Source organism: Homo sapiens, chromosome 3, assembly GCF_000001405.40.
Source record: "Homo sapiens chromosome 3, GRCh38.p14 Primary Assembly".
Taxonomy (NCBI): Eukaryota; Metazoa; Chordata; class Mammalia; order Primates; family Hominidae; genus Homo; species Homo sapiens.
Window position 1 is genome coordinate 183,169,201 of NC_000003.12, and position 25,388 is coordinate 183,194,588.

General features: G+C 47.1%; 1 protein-coding gene and 1 pseudogene across 3 annotated transcripts in view, besides 1 other annotated feature; both read right to left on the reverse strand.

Annotated features, from left to right (window-relative positions):
• SNORD3P4 (small nucleolar RNA, C/D box 3 pseudogene 4) lies at positions 5,737-5,807 on the reverse strand (annotated as a pseudogene).
• MCF2L2 (MCF.2 cell line derived transforming sequence-like 2) overlaps positions 8,841-25,388 on the reverse strand; it is a 250,579-nt gene continuing 234,031 nt past the window's right edge. For all 3 annotated transcript variants that reach the window (NM_015078.4, XM_011512585.3, XM_047447751.1), the window contains 4 exons: positions 23,799-23,896; positions 10,871-10,959; positions 10,377-10,492; positions 8,841-10,303 (listed from right to left, as the gene is read on the reverse strand). In NM_015078.4, coding sequence (NP_055893.4) covers positions 10,180-10,303; positions 10,377-10,492; positions 10,871-10,959; positions 23,799-23,896 — 427 coding nt within the window. In that variant the 3' untranslated portion in view covers positions 8,841-10,179. The remainder of the gene's footprint in view (positions 10,304-10,376; positions 10,493-10,870; positions 10,960-23,798; positions 23,897-25,388) is intronic.
• Positions 10,061-10,150: a silencer, noted in NCBI's record as "silent region_14937". NCBI's record gives its function as "represses an Ori minimal core promoter by ATAC-STARR-seq in GM12878 lymphoblastoid cells {active_cell/tissue: GM12878}" and the evidence as "EXISTENCE:reporter gene assay evidence [ECO:0000049][PMID:35858748]".

Sequence of the window (25,388 nt, forward strand, 5' to 3'; positions counted from 1 at the left end):
AACATAACAAGAGGCACCTTTGCTCCAGTTCCCAAAAAGTTCCTCATCTCCATCTGAGACCACCTCAGCCTGGATCTTATTGTCCATATCACTATCAGCATTTTGGGCAAAACCATTCAACAAGTCTCTAGGAAGTTCCAAACTTTCCCACATTTTCCTGTCTTCTTCTGAGCCCTTCAAACTGTTCCAATCTCTGCCTGTTACCCAGTTCCAAAGTTGTTCCACATTTTCAGGTATCTTCAGCAACGTTTCACTCTACTGGTAGCAATTTACTGTATTAGTCCATTTTCACACTGCTGATAAAGACATATCTGAGACTGGGAAGAAAAATAGGTTTAATTGGACTTACAGTTCCACATGGCTGGGGAGGCCTCAGAATCATGGTGAGAGGTGAAAGGCACTTCTTACGTGGTAGTGACAAGAGAAAATGAGGAAGAAGCAAAAGCGGAAACCCCTGATAAATCCATCAGATCTCATGAGACTTATTCACTATCACGAGAATAGCATGGGAAAGACCGGCCCCCATGATTCAATTACCTCCCCCTGGGTCCCTCCCACAACACATGGGAATTCTGGGAGATACAATTCAAGTTGAGATTTGGGTGGGGACACAGCCAAACCATATCAAGACTTCTACATATGAATTTTGGAGGGACACAATTTAACTCATAATAGTGGACTGTCCTGTTAAATGTTCTGTGTGCACTTGAGAAGAATGTGTGTATTCTCTCATTGTTGGATTCAGTGACCTATAAATGTTAATTAGGTTAAACTAATTGATGTAGGGAAAAGAAAGAGAGATCAGACTGTCACTGTGTCTATGTAGAAAGGGAAGACATAAGAGACTCCATTTTGAAAAAGACCTGTACTTCAAACAATTGCTTTGCTGAGATGTTAATTTGTAGCTTTGCCCCAGCCACTTTGCCCCAGCCACTTTGACCCAACTTGGAGCTCACAAAAACATGTGTTGTATAAAATCAAGGTTTAAGGGATCTAGGGCTGTGCAGGACGTGCCTTGTTAACAAAATGTTTACAAGCAGTATACTTGGTCAAAGTCATCGCCATTCTCTAGTCTCAATAAACCAGGGGCACAATGCACTGCGGAAAGCTGCAGGGAGCCCTGCCCTTGGAAGCGGGGTATTGTCCAAGGTTTCTCCCCATGTGACAGTCTGAAATATGGCCTCGTAGGATGAGAAAGACCTGACTGTCCCCCAGCCCAACACCCATAAAGGGTCTGTGCTGAGGTGGATTGGTAAAAGAGGAAAGCCTCTTACAGTTGAGATAGAGGAAGGCCACTGTCTCCTGCCTGCCCCTGGGAACTGAATGTCTTGGTGTAAAACCCGATTGTACATTTGTTCAACTCTGAAATAGGAGAAAAGCTGCCCTGTGGTGGGAGGTGAGACATGTTTGCAGTAATGCTGCCTTGTTATTCTTTACTCCACTGAGATGTTTGGGTGGAGAGAAACATAAATCTGGCCTATGTGCACATCCAGGCATAGTACCTTCCCTTGAACTTAATTATGATACAGATTCTTTTGCTCACATGTTTTTTGTTGACCTTCTCCTTATTATCACCCTGCTGTCCTACTACATTCCTTTTTGCTGAAATAATGAAAATAATAATCAATAAAAACTGAGGGAACTCAGAGGCTGGTGCCGGTACAGGTCCTTGGTGTGCTGAGTGCCGGTCCCCTGGACTCACTGTTGTTTCTTTATACTTTGTCTCTGTGTCTTATTTCTTTTCTCCGGCTCTCATCCCACCCGACTAGAAATACCCACAGGTGTGGAGGGGCAGGCCACCCCTTCAATTGATAGTATGGTTCAAGAACAAATGGTATCAACTTAGGATGGTTTAACTTATGATTTTTCAACTTTAGAATGGTGTGAAGTCTGTATGCATTCAGTAGAAGGCATACTTTGAATTTTTATCTTTTCCCAAGCTACTGCTATGGGACAAGATACTCTCTCACAATTCTGGGCAGTGGCAGCAAGCCTCAGCTTCCAGTCAGCACCCAATCCCAAGGGTAAACAACTGATACAGCCATTCTGTTTTTCATTTTTAGCAAAATACTCAATAAATTACATGAGGCACTCAATGCTTTATTATAAGACAAGCTTTGTATTAGATGATTTGCCCAACTGTAGGCTAATGTAGGTGTTCTGAGCACATTTAAGGTAGACTATACTATGCCATGATGTTTGGAAGGTTAGGTAAATTTAATGCATTTTCGACTTAGAATACTTTCAGCCTCCCAAATAGCTGGGACCACAGGTGTGTGGCACCATGTGTGGCTAATTTTTTGTGGAGACAAGGTCTCACTGTGTCGCCCAAGTTGGTCTCAAAATCCTGACTTCACGTGATCCTTCCACTCTGGTCTCCCAAAGTGCGATTACAGGTGTGAGTCACCACACCTGGCCGTGTTGTCACACATTTTAATTCTTTATAAATTAGAAACTTCACAACACATTGTTCTTATTTAAAATTTAAACAATTATCTTTAAATATACATAATATATAAATATGTATATAATATATAAATATATACAATATATAAATATATAAGATATATTATATATATAATATATAAATATATAATATATAAATATATAATATGTAAATATATAATATATAAATATATGTAAATATGTAATATGTAAATATGTAATATGTAAATATATAATATGTAAATATATAATATATAAATATACATAATATATAAATATATAATATATAAATATATAATATATAAATATATAATATATAAATATATAATATATAAATATATATTATATATAAATATATAATATACATAAATATATATAATATATAAATATATATAATATACATAAATATATAATATATAAATATATATAATATATATAAATATATATGGGGAAAAAAGCTTTTATACTTACTCATGTGATTACCGTTTCTTGCAGTCTTTATTCCTTTGTTTAGATCCTTGGGATTTTTGTTGCTATGGTGACCTTAGTTATACCAGGCACTTCAAATCTTACCTTGTGTTTAGGAAATGGGCTTGTTTGCCCAAAGGTCTTCCCTAATGTCTGCTCCACCTTCAACTTTAGGTCTTCTCTGCTGTCAGTTTCTCTCTCCATACACTTGTAGCTCTCCCAGGAGTATTCCATCGTTACTTGTTAGTCAGTGCTTATTAGCGGGGTGGTGGGATCTGAGAGGTGAGGTGCTTGGTTGTGATTCTCAGTTCTGATTCCTGCAGGTACTGTGTCCCTGGGCCTTGAAGGGTATGACCAAGCCTCTCTGTCCCTCCCCGCAGCAGTAGTTTTGGGCTCAGCACATATTCCTGCCCCTTCCCCAGAATCAGAGGGTTTTTTGTTGTTGTTGTTTTGTTTTTCAAGTTTTTGTTCCTTTTTCTCCATCTGTGTTGGATTTACCAGCCCCCTAGGAGCGTCAGTATTTGTTACCCTTCCTCCAGGCTTTTAAGGCCTTTGTAGGAGAGATGGGCCAATAGCATCTGAGCATGGTTTTGTGTCTTTCTTGTAGCAACTGATATTCCTCACCCCCAGGTCTATGCCAGGAAGGATGCTTCCTTACATGCCTGTAATCCCAGCTACCGGGGAGGCTGAAGCAGAAGAATCACTTGAACCCAGGAGGCAGAGGTTGCAGTGAGCCAAGATCATGCCACTGCACTCCAGCCTGGCAACAGAGCGAGACTTCATTCAAAAAAAAAAAAAGCTCTTACACTCTTCTGCATATTCTGCAAAGTATACTCTGGGAAGGCTGGTTTAGAGGATCTCTAACTTTTCTAATATTTCATAATGCATGGCTGATGTTTAACATGAACTCAGACTCCCATCAGATTTTACAGATCTGGGTCTGCTTTTAGTTCTAATGCTTCAGCCAGGGCACTTTAATCTGAGGTCACAGCATTCCCAATTGTCAGCAGTATTTTGAAATCTAAGTTCCTCTGGTGGACAACAGGCAACATCATATAGCCACGGAGGATCTGAACAACTTCTAAGTCTGAGGGATTTTATCTGGTGGTTTTGGATTCTTTTCCATTTATACTTAAACAAGGTGACACAAATGTCACTCACAGAAAAGCCACTCTTTTTTCCCCTGTTTTTAAGAAGTCTAAAAATGCACAACTATTTCCTGAATGAGCAGTGTGTCCAGGTGTAGAATAGGGAATGTCGTGTCCACTGGGAACAGACGGTGTACCTGGCACAATTTTATGAGAATTATCCCATGATTCCTGTCCCACCCTGCAGCCCACCATGGGCTCAGTGGGGAGTCTGAGTCTCTGAGCCCCAAAGGGTAGCTTTTTCCCAGACGACACCAGCAAGCAGAGCAGCAGCTTGGGGCTTTGACAAGGAGGCTGGAGTGAAAGGTCATATTGGACCATCCTGGATCACTGGAGGACAATACCCCAGGAACCTCCAGCAATGACTGGTATTGGAATGACTCCCCTGGTCACCCACCTGTGGCAAGACATTTGCAAACAGGGTCTTCCTATGAGGCTTGTGAGGTTTGGCCAATTTGCATTCTGCTAGAATTATTAAGTATGGACATCCTCATAGATCCAGAAAAGGGCCGAGATCCAAAGGATTGAGAATGCTTTGGGGGGTGTTTCCATAGTGAGTGGCTGGCTATTCAACAGTCAAATGTTTGAGAGGATACAAGTGATGTGTTTCCTGAGGCAAGTGGTCAGAACCCAACAGACTCTTCTGTTCAGCTAAGATGAGAGACCATCTGAAGTTCTTACATGTTCTCACAGAGAAATGGATTCTCATAGGGAAATGGATATATTGTGATAGACACTGTAAGCAGAGAAGTTGACTGAGAAACACACACACACACACACACACACACACACACGTCAAGACTGAATGCATAGATGTGTATTATAAAAAGTGTAAAAATACACCACCATTGTAACAGATTGTGTAGGACTATATTTTCTTTTTTTTTAATTTATTATTATTATACTTTAAGTTTTAGGGTACATGTGCACAATGTGCAGGTTAGTTACATATGTATACATGTGCCATGCTGGTGTGCTGCACCCATTAACTCGTCATTTAGCATTAGGTATATCTCCTAATGCTATCCCTCCCCCCTTCCCCCACCCCACAACAGTCCCCAGAATGGGATGTTCCCCTTCCTGTGTCCATGTGTTCTCATTGTTCAATTCCCACCTATGAGTGAGAATATGTGGTGTTTTGTTTTTTGTCCTTGCAATAGTTTACTGAGAATGATGATTTCCAATTTCATCCATGTCCCTACAAAGGACATGAACTCACCATTTTTTATGGCTGCATAGTATTCCATGGTGTATATGTGCCACATTTTCTTAATCCAGTCTATCATTGTTGGACATTTGGGTTGGTTCCAAGTCTTTGCTATTGTGAATAGTGCCACAATAAACATACGTGTGCATGTGTCTTTATAGCAGCATGATTTATAGTCCTTTGGGTATATACCCAGTAATGGGATGGCTGGGTCAAATGGTATTTCTAGTTCTAGATCCCTGAGGAATCGCCACACTGACTTCCACAATGGTTGAACTAGTTTACAGTCCCACCAACAGTGTAAAAGTGTTCCTATTTCTCCACATCCTCTCCAGCACCTGTTGTTTCCTGACTTTTTAATGATTGCCATTCTAACTGGTGTGAGATGGTATCTCACTGTGGTTTTGATTTGCATTTCTCTGATGGCCAGTGATGATGAGCATTTTTTCATGTGTTTTTTGGCTGCATCAGTGCTCTACACGTTCAGAGAAACTTCTCTAGTGACGAACTATAGAAATGATCCCTGAAAGTATAGTCTTAGGACTATATTTTCTTTTGACTTGGGAGGCATGTTTATTGCTGTTAATGCTGCAAAGGGCTCTACGTGCTTTAAAAAATCCCAATCTGTTGCATTCATAAGCCTGGGTTGGATCTAAAGCAGCCTCCCACTTTTGGAAAGGCATCCCCACGACCTTTCCATGGTTGCTGAATGCAGCTGGAGGCAGTCACAGCTGGTGATGTCCGGAGCCCATTCCCCACTGTGCTGGTCTGCAGAACTTCTGCATGCCATTCCCACAAGCAGGTCTCTGCCCTGCTCTCCTCCACCTCCCTTGTCAGAGGAAGTCTGCACTTCACAGCTTTCTGGTCTCAACCCTCCTCCATCCCTACAGATGTGTAAGCAGCAGGAATCAAAAGGTGAAGGAGAGGGGGCAACTCACCTCCGATGGACACGTGAAAAGTGGGAGATGGATAAAATCAAGAAGGAGCTTAAGATATCCAGAAATGTAAACTGTGTTTGGAAAAGTAAGGTCAGGAGAAGCATGGGACTCCTGAGGTTGCTCCCTACTATCTTGCAGACTTGCTGCAGGACCAAATGAAGCAGGATCTGTCAAGCACCAGGGCCAGCTCTTAAGCTTAGTGCCTTTCTGAACCCTGTGACCCAGCAGCCTCCATCAACTCGTCCTACCTGCCATGCACAGCTCCTCTGTGCCCCTGTACCTGAGCTCATGCTATTCCCTCTGCCAGGATGCCCTTCTCCTTCTCCACCAGGAGAAGAACACTTGCCAGTAAGACCCAGTTCTAATGTCACCCCTTCCTGACGGTATCAGGAAGAGTCAGTGATGGTGTTTTATGCTCCCAGAGAATTTGCCACATTGTGTTGTGATTATTTTTCCACATCTGTCTCCCCCACTGGAATGAGAGCCTCACTCATCTTCATACCTCCCTGGTCTCTACCTGGTGCCAGAACCATCCTCAGGGCAGGGGAATGCTCAGGAAATAGATATTGAATAAAATAAGTGTATCCATCCATCCATCCATCCATCCTTCCATCCATCCAGACATATATACATATGTAAACATTCTGATGGTCAAATGGAACAATGTGGGCTGAAGAATAATGCAGGTAGAAGAACCTAAGATTACAGATTCTTGATTTGGGAGGAACTTTATTTTATTGTGCAAACAGTCTACAAATTTGAAACATACTCTATCAAGAAAGACACTGTTGTTAGGAAAGGGCGTGGGAGAGGGTGGCCCCACAAAACAGTGTAAAGTTCTAAAGAATTTGAGAGGAACACTCTGCGGGACCCTGTTCCAAGGGCATCTTTCTAAGAGTCTGTCCCTTAGGCTCTGCCCCTTTTTGGCCACGTTGTCAAAGGCCTTCTTTATGAACGAAGTGAGACACATTATTTTTGTTTTCTTGAATTCTAAAGTGATTGTCTTGAGTTCCCTGGGGGAGACTCCTGGGAGGTGTGGCCCACTCTATTCCAGAAACAAACCAGGAGACTGAAGACTCATCCCAATCCCATATCCCATGAAAATGTGAAATCAAATCACCCCTGACAATTCCAAAACTAACGGAATCCTAACATAACTCTATGTAACTCTAAAGCTGAGTGTGCTGGTAATTAAGCTTCCAGCCCACCCTTCCCAGCTCTGGGGTGCAGGGTCACCATGGGCTCCTTCCTGTGTGCACCCCACCCCACCCCCACTGTCAGCATCCTGTCTCCACCCTGAGAGTGACAGCTGGTTCCAGTAGCGGGAGTTGGTTCCAGCTTGCCATTTTCCTAGCACTCCTATAACCAGCCTGCTGATGCCCATTCAGAGACAGCAGCACGGGCTGGCCATGTCCCCTCTCCAGAATTCTGCGTCCAGCTCCTGGACCTTGAGCTCTGAGCCCTTGGGCCACGTGTACAATTAATAGTGCCTCCTCCTCAGAGGACTAACCCCCAGCCCTAGGGCCACCTTCATATTTCTGAGTTTTGATATTTTCAACCTCTTTTCTTTGTTGTATGAGTCCTTGGGCTGGGAGCTTGCAGTCAAAATCTTCATGATATCTCATTATCACTACTTTTTTTTAAATCTCTACTAGCTGGATAACAATTATTTATATTAAATTCTCTCTTGAAATAACTGATACAGTGTCTCTTGATTGAAACTTGACTAGTAGACTAAGAATTCTAACTCTAAATAATTCTGAGGGCCGGGTGTGGTGGCTCACACCTGTAATCCCAGCACTTTGGGAGGCCAACGCGAATGGATCACCTGAGGTCAGGAGTTGGAGACCAGCCTGGCAAACATGGCGAAACCCGGTCAGGAGATCCAGACCATCCTGGCTAACATGGTGAAACCTCATCTTTACTTAAAAAAAAAAAAAAATACAAAACAAAATTAGCCAGGCGTGGTGGCAGATGCCTGTAGTCCCAGCTATTCAGGAGGCTGAGACAGGAGAATAGCGTGAACCCGGGAGGTGGAGCTTGCAGTGAGCCGAGATTGCACCACTGCACTCCAGCCTGGGTGACAGAGAGAGACTCCGTCTCAACAACAACAACAACAAATTAGCCGGGCATGGTGGCAGGTGCCTGTAATCTCAACTACTTGGGAGGCTGAGGTAGGAGAATTGCTTGAACCCGGGAGGCGGAGGTTGCAGTGAGCCAAGATTGCGGCACTTCACTCCAGCCTGGGTGACAAGAGCAAAACTCCATCTCAAAAAAAAAAAAAAAGAAAAAAAAATCTGACAATTAAATAAAGAACAGAAAAAAAATTTGAATGGCAAATACAAAGCTGAAAAGAAATAACTGAGAATAAATAACTCTGAAAATAGCTCAAAAACTAAATACCTCAAAAACTCTTTAAAAATTCAGAAAATATAATGTTCAAATATGAAGTAATGCTGAAAATGAAATAACTAAAAACCAAGTAACTTGAAAAAAAGAACATAAAAATAAACAACTCAAATATAAAATAACTGAAAATAAATACCTGTGAACATAAGCAACTCGAAAACCAGATAACTAGGGGAAACCCTTCATTAAAACATTTCACTCTGAAAATAAATAACTTGACAGTAGTTCATGAACTTCCAGTGAGTGTTTAATAGTCAAATAAGTTACTGTAAAAATAAATAACTCAAAAACTCCAATAAGATAAAGTGAAATAACTATGAAGGTAAATAACTCAGATAATAATTGTAAAGATAATTAAAAATAAATTCCGGCTGGGCGCGGTGGCTCACGCCTGTAATCCCAGCACTTTGGGAGGCCGAGGCAGGGGGATCACGAGGTCAGGAGATCGAGACCATCCTGGCTAACACGGGGAAACCCCGTCTCTACTAAAAATCCAAATAAAAAATTAGCCGGGCGTGGTGGCGGGCGCCTGTAGTCCCAGCTACTCAGGAGGCTGAGGCAGGAGAATGGCGTGAACCCGGGAGGCGGTTTGCAGTGAGCCGAGATCACACCACTGCACTCCAGCCTGGGCGACAGAGCGAGACTCCGTCTCGAAAAATAAATAAATAAATAAATAAATAAATTCCAAGCAAATTAATTTGAACATCTGTAACTCCTAAAACAAAACAACTACATATAAATAACTGAAAATGAACAACTAAATAACTTTGAAAATAAAGTAACTATAAACCAGTAACTGAAACTATAAAATTAAATAACCAGAAAGCTACAAAGAAATGAAAATCAACTAATAAAACTAAAAATAAAATACAACTGAAACTAACAAAACTCATTTAAAAACTAATAAATCGATACATAAAATACCTCAGAAAGTAACTTGGAACGAACTCTCTCTACAACGAAGCAATCTTGGCACTAACACGAACACCCCATGAACGCTCGCAGGGATGCTGGGAGGCGGACCGGGAGCTCCCAGTCTGCGGCCCCCGCCGGGTTGGAGCGGCTCCGGCTCCTCCAAGGCTCGGGCTAAGCGGCTCTCAACCGATTCCCACCCCGCCCTGGAGAAATGCGGGCGTGTCTGCAGGCATTTTTGATTGTCACGATTTGGGGGCGGGGTGGAGGATGGGGTGGCGCATTCCTGGCACCTAGTGGGTAGAGGCCAGGGGTGCTACTAAACATCCTACCGTGGGAGCACAGAGAAGCCCACGCAGCAAAGAATTGCCCGGCTCCGAATATCGAAGTGCGCGGTCGAGAAGGCGTGGGCTGCGGGCTCTGCTCGCCTCTGCAGGCGCCTTAGAGCAGCTCCGAGGTCCCCCGTGCGGAGCTAGGCGCGCACCCAGGACACCCCTCGGGCTCCTCGGAGGAGGCCCTGGTTGTCCCCTTTCTGCCGCCGCCGAGGCTCCGGCTGCTTTCTGCGTAGCTGGGCAGGGCCCGGGCCCCCACACCGCCTCTCCCGGGAATGCGGGCGCTCTGGAGCCGAGGAGCGGGGGCGTCCGCAGGGAGGTCAGCTCTCCTGGGCGGAGGTCCTCGGGCGCAGCGCCCTCGCCTGGAAACCAGCCGTCGCCCCCGCAGGAGCCAGCCGGCCCGTGGACGCCCCAGCGCGCTCCTCCTCGGTGCTGCGGGTCGCCCTGCAATTCCGAGAAGAAAGTCAGAGACGCCGTGGCCCAAAGAGGCGCTTAGTCTTTCCTCGCTCACACTCACGTTTCCTCCTCATCGCGTTCTTCTTTTTCTCCCTGGCTGCTTTCTCCCCTCTCCAGGAAAGCAGATTTGGAGGAACAGGTTTCGTGACTGTCGTCCGACTGGAAAAGGCCCGCGAGCTGGAAGGGAGGGGACGGGTGCACCCTCAGAGTTATTGCTGGAGGCTGTGGCCAGACCGGGCAAGGTGGTGACTCCCGCTGGCAGGCTGAGGCCCACCCCAGCCCTCCCACCTGGGCCACGGGGCTCTCAGCGGGAGCCCCAGTTATGACCGGACACCAGCGCACCGCCAAGGAGACAGCCACGTGGGGACATGCTGGACTAGGAGGGTCAGAGCCAGTTTGAGGGTCTGGTGACCTCGGCTCCCTGGCTTAACCAGGTCCTTATGGGTGAGAATCCTGAGGAGGGGGAGAGGGATGGAGGCTAGGGACAGGAGGCAGGAGGAGCTGATGAATAGGAAGGAGGGAAGAAGATGAAAGAAACAAAAGGGAAGTAATTACACTCAGAGCACTGCTCTCCTTTTCCATGTCTTCTGCGCCTTCACAGTCTTCAAAGGTGTCCATGGAGCTAAACTCCCTGCTGGAGCAGCCTTAGGGAGAGAAAGGGAAGGATGGGGCCTCTGTGGGGTGGGAGGACATCCCCTCTGCCCATGGCAGGGTGTAGCAGGCAGTGCCTGTTGCAGGCACGGTCCTCCCCATCTCTAACTCCTGCTCTCCAAGGGCCTGCACTGCGCTGGGCTGTGAGGGGGTCTGTGATCTCCAGGCTGCTTTTCCAGCGCCGAGATGCCGTAATTCACCGAGAAGGCGCGTCCACATGCTGTTCATGGCCCTACCTCCCCGTTCCTCCAAGAAAACAGTCATTGTTTTTTGTGTTTGCCAGTCTTCTAACCACGCCTCCTTCCCTTCCTCCTCCCCTGTCTCTTTCTCACCCTCCCCTCCTTGCCTCCTTTTCTCTCCCCTAATTAATGTCCATTTCCCATCTCCCTGGCAGCCTCTGCCAAGTGTCACTGCTCCCCATAAGGGAAAATCAGAGGAACAAGCAAGTGCATCCATCCTGCCTCTCTCTGCAGTGAACTGATTAATTAATCCATCAGTCTTGTCTATGGCGCACATGTTACATCCCTGGGGCGGTGTTGGACACTGTGGGGAACAGCAGCCACTGCCAAATACTGAACAACTGCCCTGTGCCTGGTGGTATGTTAGGCATTTGTCAAAGTTTAAGCCTCACAACCCTGTAAGGGTCTCAGCCCCCTTTACAGTTGGGGAAACAGACAGCAATGGTCACTTGGCCAAGTCCTCTTGGCCTGTGGCAGGGCAGCTGTCTTCTCCAGCACTCCTGCTCTTTACCCTCGCTCTGAGTGAGATGGAGTCTCTGCCCCACATGGCTCACAAGCCAGGGTAGGGAGCAGAGCATCTGCAGAAAGGTCCCAACACAGGACAGCCCCAGACCGAGGGTCAGCTGAGTAGTCTACGCGGCGGGAGCCGTGCTAGGAAAGTGTCTGCTCAGGCGAGAATTCAGGGAGGTTTGGGCAGGACTTGAGGGGCAGACAGGACTGGAGAGGGAGGGCATTCTGGGCAGAGGCATGGCCAGAGGGCGGTAGGCGGCAGTGGAGGGAGCTGCAGTTATCTGGGTGAGCAGGCAGCACAAGTAGCGTCTCCTGGGCTGCTGCCCCAAGCCCCCAACAAGCCACGTTCTGGGCCCCAGGCCCTCCCCAGAGCAGATCAGTGGGGGCTGTGTGAGTAACATGGGGGCGGGGGGGCAGCTGGGCAGCACCTCCCTGGAGGCCCCTCTGAAATCCTGCCTGACTCTGGCAGGCTCCGAGGGGGCTGGACACCCTCCTCTCAGGTTGAAGCAAGTCCTGGTTGAGTTCCTAGTCCCAGGAGGTGGGAGGGGCAAGGGGTGGAGGGCAGAGGAGAAACTGCCTCAGGGATGTGCCCCCTGCCTTCATCCTCCAGACAGGACTTGGGAGCATCTAAGGAAACCCAAGACTCCTCTTTAGAGAAGTCATCCAGCCCTGGGGTCCCCTTATGCCAGGAGCAAGCAGTGAGAATGGAAGAATGATTGTCTTGCTGAAAGTTCTGTGATGGAGGGATAGAGGGACAGAGGGAGCCATGCCCTTGACCATCCCCTGCATGAATAGGAAGGGCTGTGTCTCCAGGGTCCATGGCCTCTGTGCCCCGGATGATGCCAGGGCTGCTAGGGACCATAGAGCCACCCACTGGGAGGCTGGCGGTTGGGCCTGGCTCAGGAGCCTTCGTCAGCCATAGGCAGCCACAGCCTGGGGTGGGCAGGGCTGGGAGGCGACACAGGAACTGAAAAACCTGACAAGCTCTAGCCCCTCCGCAGGGTAAGTGGTACCTCCAGGTAAAATGATTAGTTGGTTCCAGCCCCTCTGCAGGGTAAGTGGCACCTGGGGTAAAATGACTGCCTGGAGCTGGCAGCTGCTTTCCCTGCTCTCGCGGGCCCTGCAGGGAAGCGGGGAAGGGAAGGGGGCACAGCGCTGGGCACAGAGGGGCTCTCAGACCCTGGACTCAACTGTTTCAGGGTCATCTGAAACAGTCAACTGTTTCCTCTAGCCCATTCCCTGCCTCCAGGCGAGGATTTGCCTGAACGTGGAAAGAGGAAGGATCCTCCCAGTGCTGTCAACCCCAGATTCCACCTCCCTGTGGGGGACTGTCAGCGCAGGCCCTGACAACGCAGAGAAAGACACAGGACCCACCTGGGCCAGTGACAGCAGGAGCTCCGGGTGCCACAGGTGAGGGTGGGGATGCCTGGAGCACCACGGGGGGCCTGGTTTAGTCTAGAGCCAGGTTTTCCATACACCTTAGAGTGCAACCTCAGGGAGATGCAAATTTTACCCCCTAACACAGCATACACGCAGAAACACATTTATACAATTCAAACACAAGCGGACGGAACAATATTTACCCTTAGAGTGTGTGAAGTCCTCATCTGTCCCACCTCATCCTATCATGCTTTGTTCTATCCTAGGAGACAAAGCAGGAGGGGGGGCTGCGGAGGTGGGGGAGTCTCATCCAAGCCCTTGGGTGACACGTCTCTCCTGAGACAAACTGCAGCTGCTCTGGGTGTGCCCTCGCCTGTCTCCCTCCAGGCCCCGGGTTCCTGCCAGCAGAGACAGTAACCTATTCACCAGGTATCCCCCAGGGCTCCTGGAAGAAACTCAGAATTCTCAGAACCAGAAAACCTTAGAGAGCATCCTGCAGGCAAAGCCCCTGGTTCTCTGCGGAGGAAAGTGCGGCTCACAGGGTGCCCCGCCAGGGATGGTAATTGACCACCAGGCTGTGTGCCTTGTGGGGACTGGCTTAAGGCCCTGTGGGAGCTGAGTCAGGGCCAGGACCGGGGTGTCCTGACTCCTAGAGATCATGTTCCCTTCCTCACCCAGGCCTTCCAGTCCCAGCCCTGGGCTTTTATTTATTTATTTTGGAGACAGAGTCTGGCTTGTCACCCAGGTTGGAGTGCAGTTGTGTGATCACGGCTCACTGCAGCCTTGACTTCCTGGGTTGAACTGATCCTCCCACATCAGCCTCCTGAGTAGCTGGGACCACAGGCACATGCCACCACACCCAGCTAATTTTTGTATTTTTTGGTAGAGATGGGGTTTTACCATGTTGGCCAGGCTGGTCTTGAACTCCTGAGCTCAACTGATCTGCCCACCTCAGCCTCCCACAGTGCTGGGATTACAGATGTGAGCCATCATGCCCACCTCCTGGGCTGACTTTTGCTGTCTTACATCATCTGCATATTTAATCCCCTGCTGGATTCACTGGTCATGGGCTCTGAGGCCCTAAGAGTCTTAGGCACTAAGGAGCTGGCAGCACTGAGGGGACCCCAAAATCTCAGACTCAGGATCTGGCCAGTCACAGGCATGTGAGGGAACAACTGAGAGGCCCATTGCCCCATGGCAGGAGAAGGTGCTCTGGAGTCAGTCAGACCTGAGGGCAGTCAGACCTGATTCTCACTCTGTCACTCACTAGCTGTGTGATCTTGGATACATCACTTAACCTCTTGAGCATCAGCTTCCTTATCTCTAAAATGGAGATAATAACATCGATTTTGCAGTCTTGGTATGAGGATTAGCAAATCTTCTGATAAAGAAAAATGCCTGGTACATCATAGGAATTCAACAAATAGTACCTGTTATGATTATTGTGTATAGCAATTACAATAATACTAAAGAGAGGGTCTCAAAACAGCTCTGGGCACTCCAGGTGTGCTATTATTACTTACATTTCAGGGAGGTTTGTCTGCCATTGTCTCATCCTCATAAACACTCAGGGAAAGAAACATTATAAGGATAATAAATGGCTTTAAAAAGAAACAGAGCAAACACACACACACACACACCCCTCAGAAAAACCATGCCAAACACACAGGCTCTTGACAAATATTCAATCTGATTATAGCAAAACTGTTTTGTTTTGTTTTGTTTTTTTGTTTGTTTTTGAGACAGGGGTCTCGCTCTGTCGCCCAGGCTGGAGTGCAGTGGCGTGATCTTGGCTCACAGCAACCTCCTTCTCCCGGGTTCAAGCAATTCTCCTGTCTCAGCCTCCAGAGTAGCTGGGACTACAGGCACATGCCACTATGCCTGGCTAATTTTTGTATTTTTAGTAGAGACAGGGTTTCACCATATTGGTCAGGCTGGTCTCGAACTCTTGATCTCAGGTGATCCACCTGCCTTGGCCTCCCAAAGTGTGAGATTACAGGCGTGAGCCACCATGCCCAGCTGATTATAGCAAAATTCTAAGTGATAGTTGTATTCTTGGAAAATGAATGGAACGACTTTTGTCCCAGCCAAGATCTAGTGGTGTGTTGGAGCAGATACACCCTGAGTCTCTGGGGCACTCTCAGTCTATGTATCAGATAAGCATAAGGAGTATTGGTGGAGAAGGACAAGAATGGGAAAGGTGGGCGATGAGAATTCCTGCAGATAAGGACTGGTGAGAGTATTCTCTTTTGAAACCCTTAGTCGACAATCTTTCTGGTGCATATCAGATAAGCTGAATGGTTTAGGAAATCTAGTGTTCACATTTAGTGCTTAGAATTCTAAGCTTTTTTATTTTGCTTAAACAAATGGAATGAAATTTATTAACAAGTGAACCTAGTAATGAGCTGAAATTATTCTCACCAGCATACATATTTTTGGTAAATTATAGACTTTGAAGACAAAATCATGGTGTTTCCCTTACTGTCCAGTGGATGGCACAAAGAGACCATTGTAGATCCTGCTGGTTCAGCGGTAGCTCTCAATCCATAGATATTAAATGGGCAAATTCTATTTTTATTGTCTTTCAAACTAGATTTTTCTCAATGCACAACTTTTTTTTTCTTTTTCTTTTTTTTTTTTGAGACGGAGTCTCGCTCTATTGCCAGGCTGGAGTGCAGTGACACGATCTCGGCTCACTGCAACCTCCGCCTCCCGGGTTCAAGTGATTCTCCTGCCTCAGCCTCCTGAGTAGCTGGGGACTACAGGCGCATGCCACCATGCCCAGCTAATTTTTTTGTAATATCAGTAGAGACAGGGTTTCACCATGTTGGCCAGGATGGTCTCGATCTCCTGACCACGTGATCCGCCCACCTTGGCCTTCCAAAGTGCTGGGATTACAGGCGTAAGCCACCGCGCTTGGCCAATTATGCACAACTTTTTAAGGACCATCTCTATCACATGAACTAAAGGATATCATTTTCACTTGGGGGTGGGAAGTGGTGAGCTGCTTAAAAGCAATGCCTAAACCCCCTGGGCTTTCCTTCCTTTCACTTGGAAGAACCAGGGGGTAACTAACTGCTAACAATTCCATGCTTTCAGAGATCTAGGCGCAAGCCTAAGGGCTTCATCTCATTTAATCCTCATGGCAAGACTGTACAGTATTATCTCCATTTTGTAAAATGAATGATAAAAAGAACTTAAGCACAGACAGGCTATAGAATCCATCCAAAGAGATGGAGCTGCACTTGAGGCTGGGTCTTTGAGACCTGAGTTTGAGCCCTTCATCATTGTGTTGTGTGTGCTGCTAACCAATTTCCCCTCTCTGTCTTCTAGGATTTAATACATGGTGTCACATTCTGTCTGATCCATCCCAGTAGCTCTCCAGAGCTCCCAACAGGAGAGAGTTCCAAAATGTTTCCAGGGGTACTAGGCTCGGTTACAATATTTTGCTTGGTGGCCCAGAGTATAAACGTGGATATCTTAGGCTGGTCTATAGCTGAAACGTCTATTTCATTTGCAAGCCTATCTTTGGCTAAGAGGAAGTGAATCATTCTTGAGAACATCTAATTAATTGCTTTCAGATTCCACATGTTGACATTCTCAGGGCACATTTTTTTTTTCCCGTGCATTTCTGTTGTCAAAGTCCCTGCCAGCTCCTAAGGCAGTCTGAGCTGGCTGTCTTAGACTTTCAGAGCTGCTGGAAGCTTGGGGGAGGGAGGGGCTGTAGGTCAAAGAAACTTTATAACCTAGCTTTACCTCCCAGCTCAGCCACCAGCTGCCCTCAAATGTTCTGGATTGGAATAAGCCCAAAGATGAGTGGCAGGAGGGAAGGGCAAGCCAATACGTCTAGTTTGGTTCAGTCAAAGCCTTGCCCATTTCATCAGAATTTTAATGGAAAATTTCCAATAAGATTAAAATATAAGGTCACCCCAATTTTAGTATGGCTCCATTTAAAAAAAATCATGCATATCTTTGTTTTGCAATGGGGCCTTACTCTTGCCCAGGAGAGGTGCGGTGGTACAATCATGGCTTACGGCAGCCTCAACCTCCTGAGCTCAAGCAATCCTTTCACCTTGGCCTGCCAAATAGCTAGGATTACAGACACCCACCACCATGCCCAGCTAATTTTTAAAAAAAATTTTTTGTAGGTCCAGTGCAGTGGCTCATGCCTGTAAATCTCAGCACTTTGGGAGGCCGAGGCAAGCGGATCACCTGAGGTCAGGAGTTTGAGACCAGCCTGGCCACAATGGTGAAACTGCCGTCTCTACTAAAAACACAAAAATTAGCGAGGTGTGGTGGTGGGCACCTGTAATCCCAGCTACTCGGGAGACTGAAGCAGGAGAATCAATTGAACCTGGGAGGTGGAGGTTGCAGTGAGCCAAGTTCGTGCCATTGCACTCCAGCCTGGGCAACAAGAGTGAAACTCCGTCTCAAAAGTTTTTGTGGAGATGGGGTCTTGCGATATTGCCCAGGCTGGTCTCAAGCTCCTGGATATCAAGTGATCCTCCTGCTTTGGCTTCCCAAAGTGTTGGGATTACAGGCATGAGCCACCACAACTGACCAAATCATGCATTTCTATAGACAACGTCTGCAAGAAGATATTAATGGTGATTATATCTGGTTATGTTGGATTTGTATTTTTATTTGTACTTTCCTGTATTTTCTAAATTCCTGACATTCTACATGTGTACTCCTTTAATAATCAGAAAAGGAAACTTAAAATAGTTAAAACCAATTGGTCAGATATGTAAAATAACCCACCATCTCTCCAGAGAGGGCTGTTTGCTAGAACTTATTTTCTTCATTGAAATACTAGAGTGCCCCAATAAGTTTGAATAACACAAAAAAAAAGATAATGAAAGTAACTAAATTATCTAGGCCCAAAAGGAAATGCCACAAAAATTGGCAAAGAAACAACCATGACGTGCTATACCGGATAGCTCCTAGGCCCCCTTGGAGACCCTGAGGTACCCGACGAGGGACCTGTAGTAAGGCTGGCAGACAGGTTCTTCCTCTGTTAGCTCTGAGGTACAACAGTTATTCTCATTTTTATGTCTTTCACATGGCCAGAACTTTGCAAATCAGAGGCAAAGTGAATTCAGAATTAAAAATTTTCAGCACCATCCAAGTCAGTAAAACAGTCTTAGCTTATAACCTTTATTTTTTTTATTATTTTATTATTTTTTTATTTTTGGATGGAGTCTTGCTCTGTTTCCAGGCTGGAGTGCAGTGGCATCATCTCAGCTCACTGCAACCTCCGCTTCCTGAGTCCAAGTGATTCTCCTGCCTCAGCCTCCCGAGTAGCTGGGACGACAGGCATGCGCCACCACGCCCAGCCAATTTTTGTATTTTTAGTAGAGACGGGGTTTCACCATGTTGGCCAAGATGGTCTCAATCTCTTGACCTCCTGATCCTCCCGCCTCGGCCTCCCAAAGTGCTGGGATTACAGGCGTGAGCCACCGCGCCCAGCCCTTTATTTTTACTGTAAGCTGCCAGTAAACAGCACACCCACCTGTCTGCTGACTGTCCCATCTGGAAGTTGTGTAGGTCCTTACTGAATCTTACCTTCTTCCCTTCCCCTACCCAGACCCCATCCCAGCTGGCACGTGGAATCCTTTCCCTTTCTCCTCATGTCAATAGACCAGCAGGCAAAGAGAGCAGTTACCATAGTGGAAGGAGAAACGGGTCCTAGTCGTGGTGAGGAGGTAGGGCTGCTGCTTAACAAAGGCCGAGAGGGACATGTCTGATGCTCAGGTGATCCACTAGGACATCTCGCAATACTCCCATGCCCAGCTGTAACTATGATGGCCAAGTCCAAGAACCATAGCCTGATAAGAGTCTAGGACCCCCACTATACATGCCACCAGTAGAAGTGCCTGATGGGGAGAGGGATGTCTAGAATGAGTAGGAGGGAATGATGACAAAGCACAGCCAAGGACCAACTGCAGTGGCAGGTGGCAGCCACAGATTGAGTTAAGTAGGATTCTTGCTGTGTTCCCTAGTGGAAGCATCTCCCTTGTTGAGACCCACTGAGGTTAAAGTTGGAGACATGGGGAGAAAACAATGTCCCCGTGTTCATCACTAGAGTCATGATGGGCAAGGTCACAACTCATTTGACTTCTTGGCTCCCAGATTCATATACTCTGCCTCTTGGGGGCACTTCACCATAATACAGCCATTGGTTCAGTTGTATGCTGCATCCTGAGGGACAGCACTCCATCCCCGCAGTGCCATGTCCAAACTGCTGCCCCGCCTCACTCTCAAGAGGCTGTCCCACTACTCTGTCAGGCACCAGCTTCTGAATGCAGTGGTAAGACTCTGTCCTGTGATCACGTCTATGGCTGATTCTCTTTTGCCATACTGAGTCCCCTGATCAAAGCAGTGTTATACAGCCTGGCGCGCTGGCTCATGCCTGTGATCCCAGCACTCTGGGAGGCAGAGGGGGATGGATCACTAGAGGTCAGGAGTTCAAGACCAGCCTGGTCAACATGGTGAAACCCTGTCTCCTCTACTAAAAATTCAAAAATTAGCTGGGTGTGGCATGAGCCTGTAATCCCAGCTACTCGGAAGGCTGAGGCAGGAGAATCACTTGCACCCAGGAGGTGGAGGTTGCAGTGATCCCTGATGGTGCCGTTGCACTCCAGCCTGAGCGACAAGTGTGAAACTCTATCGCAAAAAAAAAAAGCAACGCTTATGATTGATCACACACTGTACTTTCTAACCTGAAGGGGTCTGGTAAAATCAACTTGTCTTCTCAAGGGACAGTACCAAACTGGGGGCTCAGCACTGACCTCTGCTGGCATGTCGGACATTTAAAAGTGGTAGCAGCTAGAGCAGTCTTGAAGACATGGAGCCCTCACTGCTGGGGCCGAGCACTGCTGGGTTCAATTCTGCTACCAAGGCTTCTCCATTTCCGAGCCCATGGTGCAGGCACTGGGGTGCCTAAGAGGAAGTGCACTAACTGGACTTCTGCTATGCACCTTCTTTAGGGGGCATTAAAGCACAGTTCAAAGACTCTCACATTTTGAGTTAACCCCCACAGGCCTGTGTGCCCCTTCTCCAGTCAGGTCATGTTGTCATTTGATCCTAGTTATTATTCTGAAAGGGTTCAGGAAGGGAGGTGGGGACAGATCTTGGAAAGGGCAAACATTGCCTTGTATGCCTCATCTGAGGCTTCCGCATAGTCTTAGGGGACTGGGAACCGTCTTAAGTGAATCTCACCTTCTTCCCTTCCCCCAGCCAGGCCCTAGCCCTACTGGCATGAGGAATCCTATCTCTTTGTCCTCATGCCAGGAGACCAGCAGGCAAAGAGAGCAGTTACCATACTGGAAGGAGAAATGGGTCCTGGTCATCAGAAGGAGGTACTCCTCAAGGGACAGTACCTGAGGGAGACACTTCCACTAGGGAACACAGCAAGAATCCTACTTAACTAAATCTACGGCTGCCGCCTGCTGCTACAGTTGGTCCTTGGCTGTACTTTGTAGTACAAGGCGAAGTAGGCCACTGCTGCCAGCCCAGGAGGTCAAGGGCATTTACCCAGACATCCTCATTCCCAGTTTTTGGGTCCCTTATCTTCCCTCTCAGGATCTAATGACTCATCTACTGGCACTAGGAGTCCAAAATGACCAGATGGCAGACTCGCCTAGGCTGAGAATTCTTCCTTCTCTCAAATTCTGCCACTTTTACCAGCCCAGTCTGCCTCTGCTGTAGGAGATGAGAGGCTAAATGTTGGCAGGGAGGCCCCCTGATTCTGATCCTGTGTTTTAAATCGATAATTAGTCTGACCCTGTTACTTTCTCCCTTCAGTGCATCAACGGGAGGCTCTTAGCAACAGCCTCCCAACTCTACCTTCCTGATAGATAATATTTTCCTCAAAGCTCTCAAATGCTAGAGACATTGCACCAGCTGGTGTGTCCCCATCCACCTGTATCTGATCCCAGGTCACCACAGGTGAAGGTCTGAGCAATCGAACTGCTACAGCAGGCCAGGTACCAGGACTCTCAACACGCCACTTAACACCAATAATGAGGTCCTCATGGCCATTTGGCCTGCAGTGAGCCAACACCAGAATCCCATCCATTCTGGGACCCCTCCTGCTACTAACGGTCTTCAGTCAGGTTCCCCAGAAGCAGATTATGCAAATGTGTTATTGAAAAACGGCTTTCAGATGAAACCTGGAAGACAGTGAAGGCCGAAGCTAGGGCAGGGAAGAAGCCAGGCACAGACGTGGGCTTAGCAGAAGTCTAGCATCAGCCTGATCCCCTGGGCAGTACTGGAGCATGGATGGCACCACAGGTTACCATCTTGAGACAGAAGGACTGGCTTCTGTACCCTGAATCAGTAAGCCATTGGTGGGCCATAAGCCACCCTTAGGGGAGGACATAACCTCACAGGCATTTCCTGGCTGGACGACCCTGGGCAGCTGAGGGCAACTGCCTGAAGGGCACAACGGTGAGCCATTGTCAGCTAACCTCACAGCAGCAGAGACATGGGGCCAACAGCCTATAAAGAGGGTCTGGGCAGGCTGTCAATACTCTCTACTGTAATACTGTATATGTGGTTTATTTTAAAAACTTTTTTAGAAGGCTTTATTTTATTTTATTTTTTGAGAAGGAGTTTCGCCCTTGTTGCCCAGGCTGGAGTGCAATGGCGCGATCTTGACTCACCACAATCTCTGCCTCCTGGGTTCAAGGAATTCTCCTGCCTCAGCCTCCCGAGTAGCTGGGATTACAGGCGTGTACCACCATGCCCGGCTAATTTTTTGTATTTTTAGTTTCATCATGTTGGCCTGGCTAGTCTTCAACTCCTGACCTCAGGTGATCCGCCCACCTCGGCCTCCCAAAGTGCTGGGATTACAGGCGTGAGCCACCGCACCCGGCTGACTTTATTTTTTTAGAGCAGTTTTAGGTTCACAGAAAAACTGAGAGGAAGGTACAAAGATTTCCCATATATCCCCTGTGCTCACACATGCATGGCCTCCCTATCACCATCCCCCACCAGAGAGGCACATTTGTTACAATGGATGAACGTATACACTGAATATATCATATTCACCCAAAGTCTGTAGCTCACATCATGGTTCACTTTGGCTGTTGTACATTCCTTGGATCTAGACACTTTTATAATGACAGGTACAGTAGTCCCCCTTTATCCTCAGGGGCTACTTCCAAGATCCCCAGTGGATGCCCGAAACCGCAGAGAGTGCCAAACTTGACTGCCATCAGTGGGAATATGTTTCTATTCGCCTTCCACCACCACCGGTTTAACGCCTTTTTCATCTTAGTGCTGCTGCCGTAACTTTGGCAGTTTGAGATGCGACAGCAAAATGAGTACAAATTTCTTTCTCCTTCTTCACAATGTCATGGACAGATGATTCCTTCTTACCATAGATCTTAGCAACCTCGGTGTGTGATTTTTTTTCTTTCTTGTTAAATCAACTTTCACCTTTTCACTTAAAGGAAGCATTTGACGGCTTCTCTTTGGCATATCTGAATTTCCAGCATCACGACTGTGCTTTGGGGCCATTGTTTGTTTATTTATTTATTTATTTTATTTATTTTTTTGAGACAGAGTCTCGCTCTGTTGCCCAGGCTGGAGTGCAGTGGCGTGATCTCGGCTCACTGCAAGCTCCGCCTCCCAGGTTGACGCCATTCTCCTGCCTCAGCCTCCCGAGTAGCTGGGACTACAGGCGCCCACCACCAAGCGCAGCTAATTTTTTTTTTTTTTTGTATTTTTAGTAGAGATGGGGTTTCACTGTGTTAGCCAGGGTGATCTCGATCTCCTGACCTCGTGATCCTCCCGCCTCAGCCTCCCAAAGTGCCGGGATTACAGGCATGAGTATTTTATTTATTTATTTATTTTTTCAGACAGAGTCTCACTCTGTCGGCCAGGCTGGAGTGCAGTGGCACCATCTCGCTCACTGCAACCTCCGCCTCCCAGGTTCAAGCAATTCTCTGCCTCAAACTCCGGAGTAGCTAGAATTACAGGTGCACACCACCACGCCCGGCTGATTTTTGTATTTTTAGTAGAGACAAGGTTTCACCATCTTGGCCAGGCTGGTCTTAAACTCCTGACCTCAGGTGATCCACCCACCTCGGCCTCCCAAAGTGCTGGGATTATAGGCGTGAGCCACCGTGCTTGGCCTTGGGGCCATTATTAAGTAAAATAAGAGTCACTTGAACACAAACACTGTGATCCTAACAGTCGATTTAATCACCAAGATGGCTATAAGTGACTAAGGCTGGCGGGGTGGGGAGCACAGACAGCAGGGACACCCTGGACAAGGGGATAATTCGTGTACCAAGCAAGACACAGCGGAAGGCGCCAGATTTCATCGCACTACTCAGAATGGCATATCATTTAAAACTCATCGATTGTTTATTTCTGTAATTTTTCCATTTGATATTTGGACAGCAGTTGACTAAGAGTAACTAAAACCTGGAAAGTGAAACAGTGGATAAGGGGGTGCTCCTGTACTTCTCAATGTGAGACATTTGCCCTTCATGTTAATTCTGCCCCATTAGCTCTACACAAATGAATAGCAGGAAATTGATTTTAAACCACATGGTGGTAAAATGCTTTCTTTTTTCTCCCTCATTTAACTAAAGAAGGGCTGGGCCCTAGGTGATGTCTTCCTTAGCATCTAAGCAGCTGGCATCACCCCACTGCTTCTGTGCTCCACTCTCCCATGGGACCCTCCCTACCTTTAATCCCTCCTGTGCTGGAGGCCGGGTCTTCCTTGCTAGTGGTAGCTCTTTCCATATTTTTAATCCATGGTCCGGATCCTGCTCCACTGCCTTTGCTTTAGAGAAATAAACATGAATATTGAGTCACTGGAAGGAATGACACACGCATCCCTCCCCCACCAGTTGGAGTAACGCTGGCCCACCTAGTGTATCTCTGGTCTAGGTCTCGAGGACCTGCTGCTCCTCCCTCACCTGTAGTTGAAGACCTGCCTCAGGTCAGTAGGTGATACGCAGTAAGGAAATGTCCAAAGGACACTTCTTGTTGGATTACACAGCAAACATCTAATTGGCTGCAAATCTTTTTTTCTTTTTCTTTCTTTTTTTTTTTGAGACAGAGTCTCGCTCTGTTGCCCAGGCTGGAGTGCAGTGGCGCAATCTTGGCTCACTGCAAGCTCTGCCACCTGGGTTGACGCCATTCTCCTGCCTCAGCCTCCCAAGTAGCTGGGACTACATGCGTGTGCCACCACACCCAGCTAATTTTTGTATTTTTAGTAGAGACGAGGTTTCACCATGTTGGCCAGGATGGTCTTGATCTCTTGACCTTGTGATCCGCCCGCCTTGGCCTCCCAAAGTGCTGGGATTACATGGCTACAAATCTTAAAGGGGGAAGAGATGAGGAGGAATAATCCCCTTTGTCTTCTCAAAAATGTTTTCACTGGCTCACTACAGCTCCCTCCTTCCTCTTTACTGACCCAAAATGCCAACTATTATAGTAACTCTTTTGGGTTAGACGAATCCAGTGAATAAACACCTACTAAGCATTGGAGGTCCAAGAGGAATAAGATATGCCTGAGCTAAACCTCATCACCCCCGGCCTTGCTTGCAGAGTGGTTTGCTGGCCTCATCTGATTATTCAATGAGTGCTTTCATTTGTTTATTCACTAAATATTTACTGAGCACCTACAAAAGTGCCTGGCCCTGGTAGATGAGGCCTGAGGGAAGCTAAAACTAATAAGACAAACTCCATGCCCTAGAGGAATTCATGGTCTCATAGGGAGAAAATGTAAACACATCATAAAATTATAGCTTATTAAATGCTGCAATAGAGTACTCCGTAAGAGTGTGGGGGCAGAGAGGAGGGGGAGAAACAGCTGCTTTCTAGAGCCCTCACCTTTTCCACTTCTCTCATCTTTCTGGGTTAGGGTCTAGCGGGGGTTCCATGAGGATCAGGCTAAATGAGCTTAGAAAAACTAAGCAGACTACTGTATCAGAACTGGATCACAGTAGACAGGCGTTTTCAACAAACATATATTGAGTATCCCTGAGTGCTTTGGACAGGAAGAGGAATTATAGACGAAGATTGTAAGTCGCAGTAATAGATGAGGCAAGGAGCACCAGTGAGGACTTAACCCTGAAAGAAGTGTGAGCACATCTTCCTCCCAGACAAGGGGGAATAAAGAAAGGAAGATGATCAGGAGAGTTCTAAGTGGAACTCAGCAGCCAGAGGGGAAGCCGGAGGAGGTAACATCAGAGGGTGCGTTTGCCCACTCAGTAAAGTAGGAGGCAGGGCAGCCTTGTGAAAATAGGAATGGAATAGAAAGCTCAAGA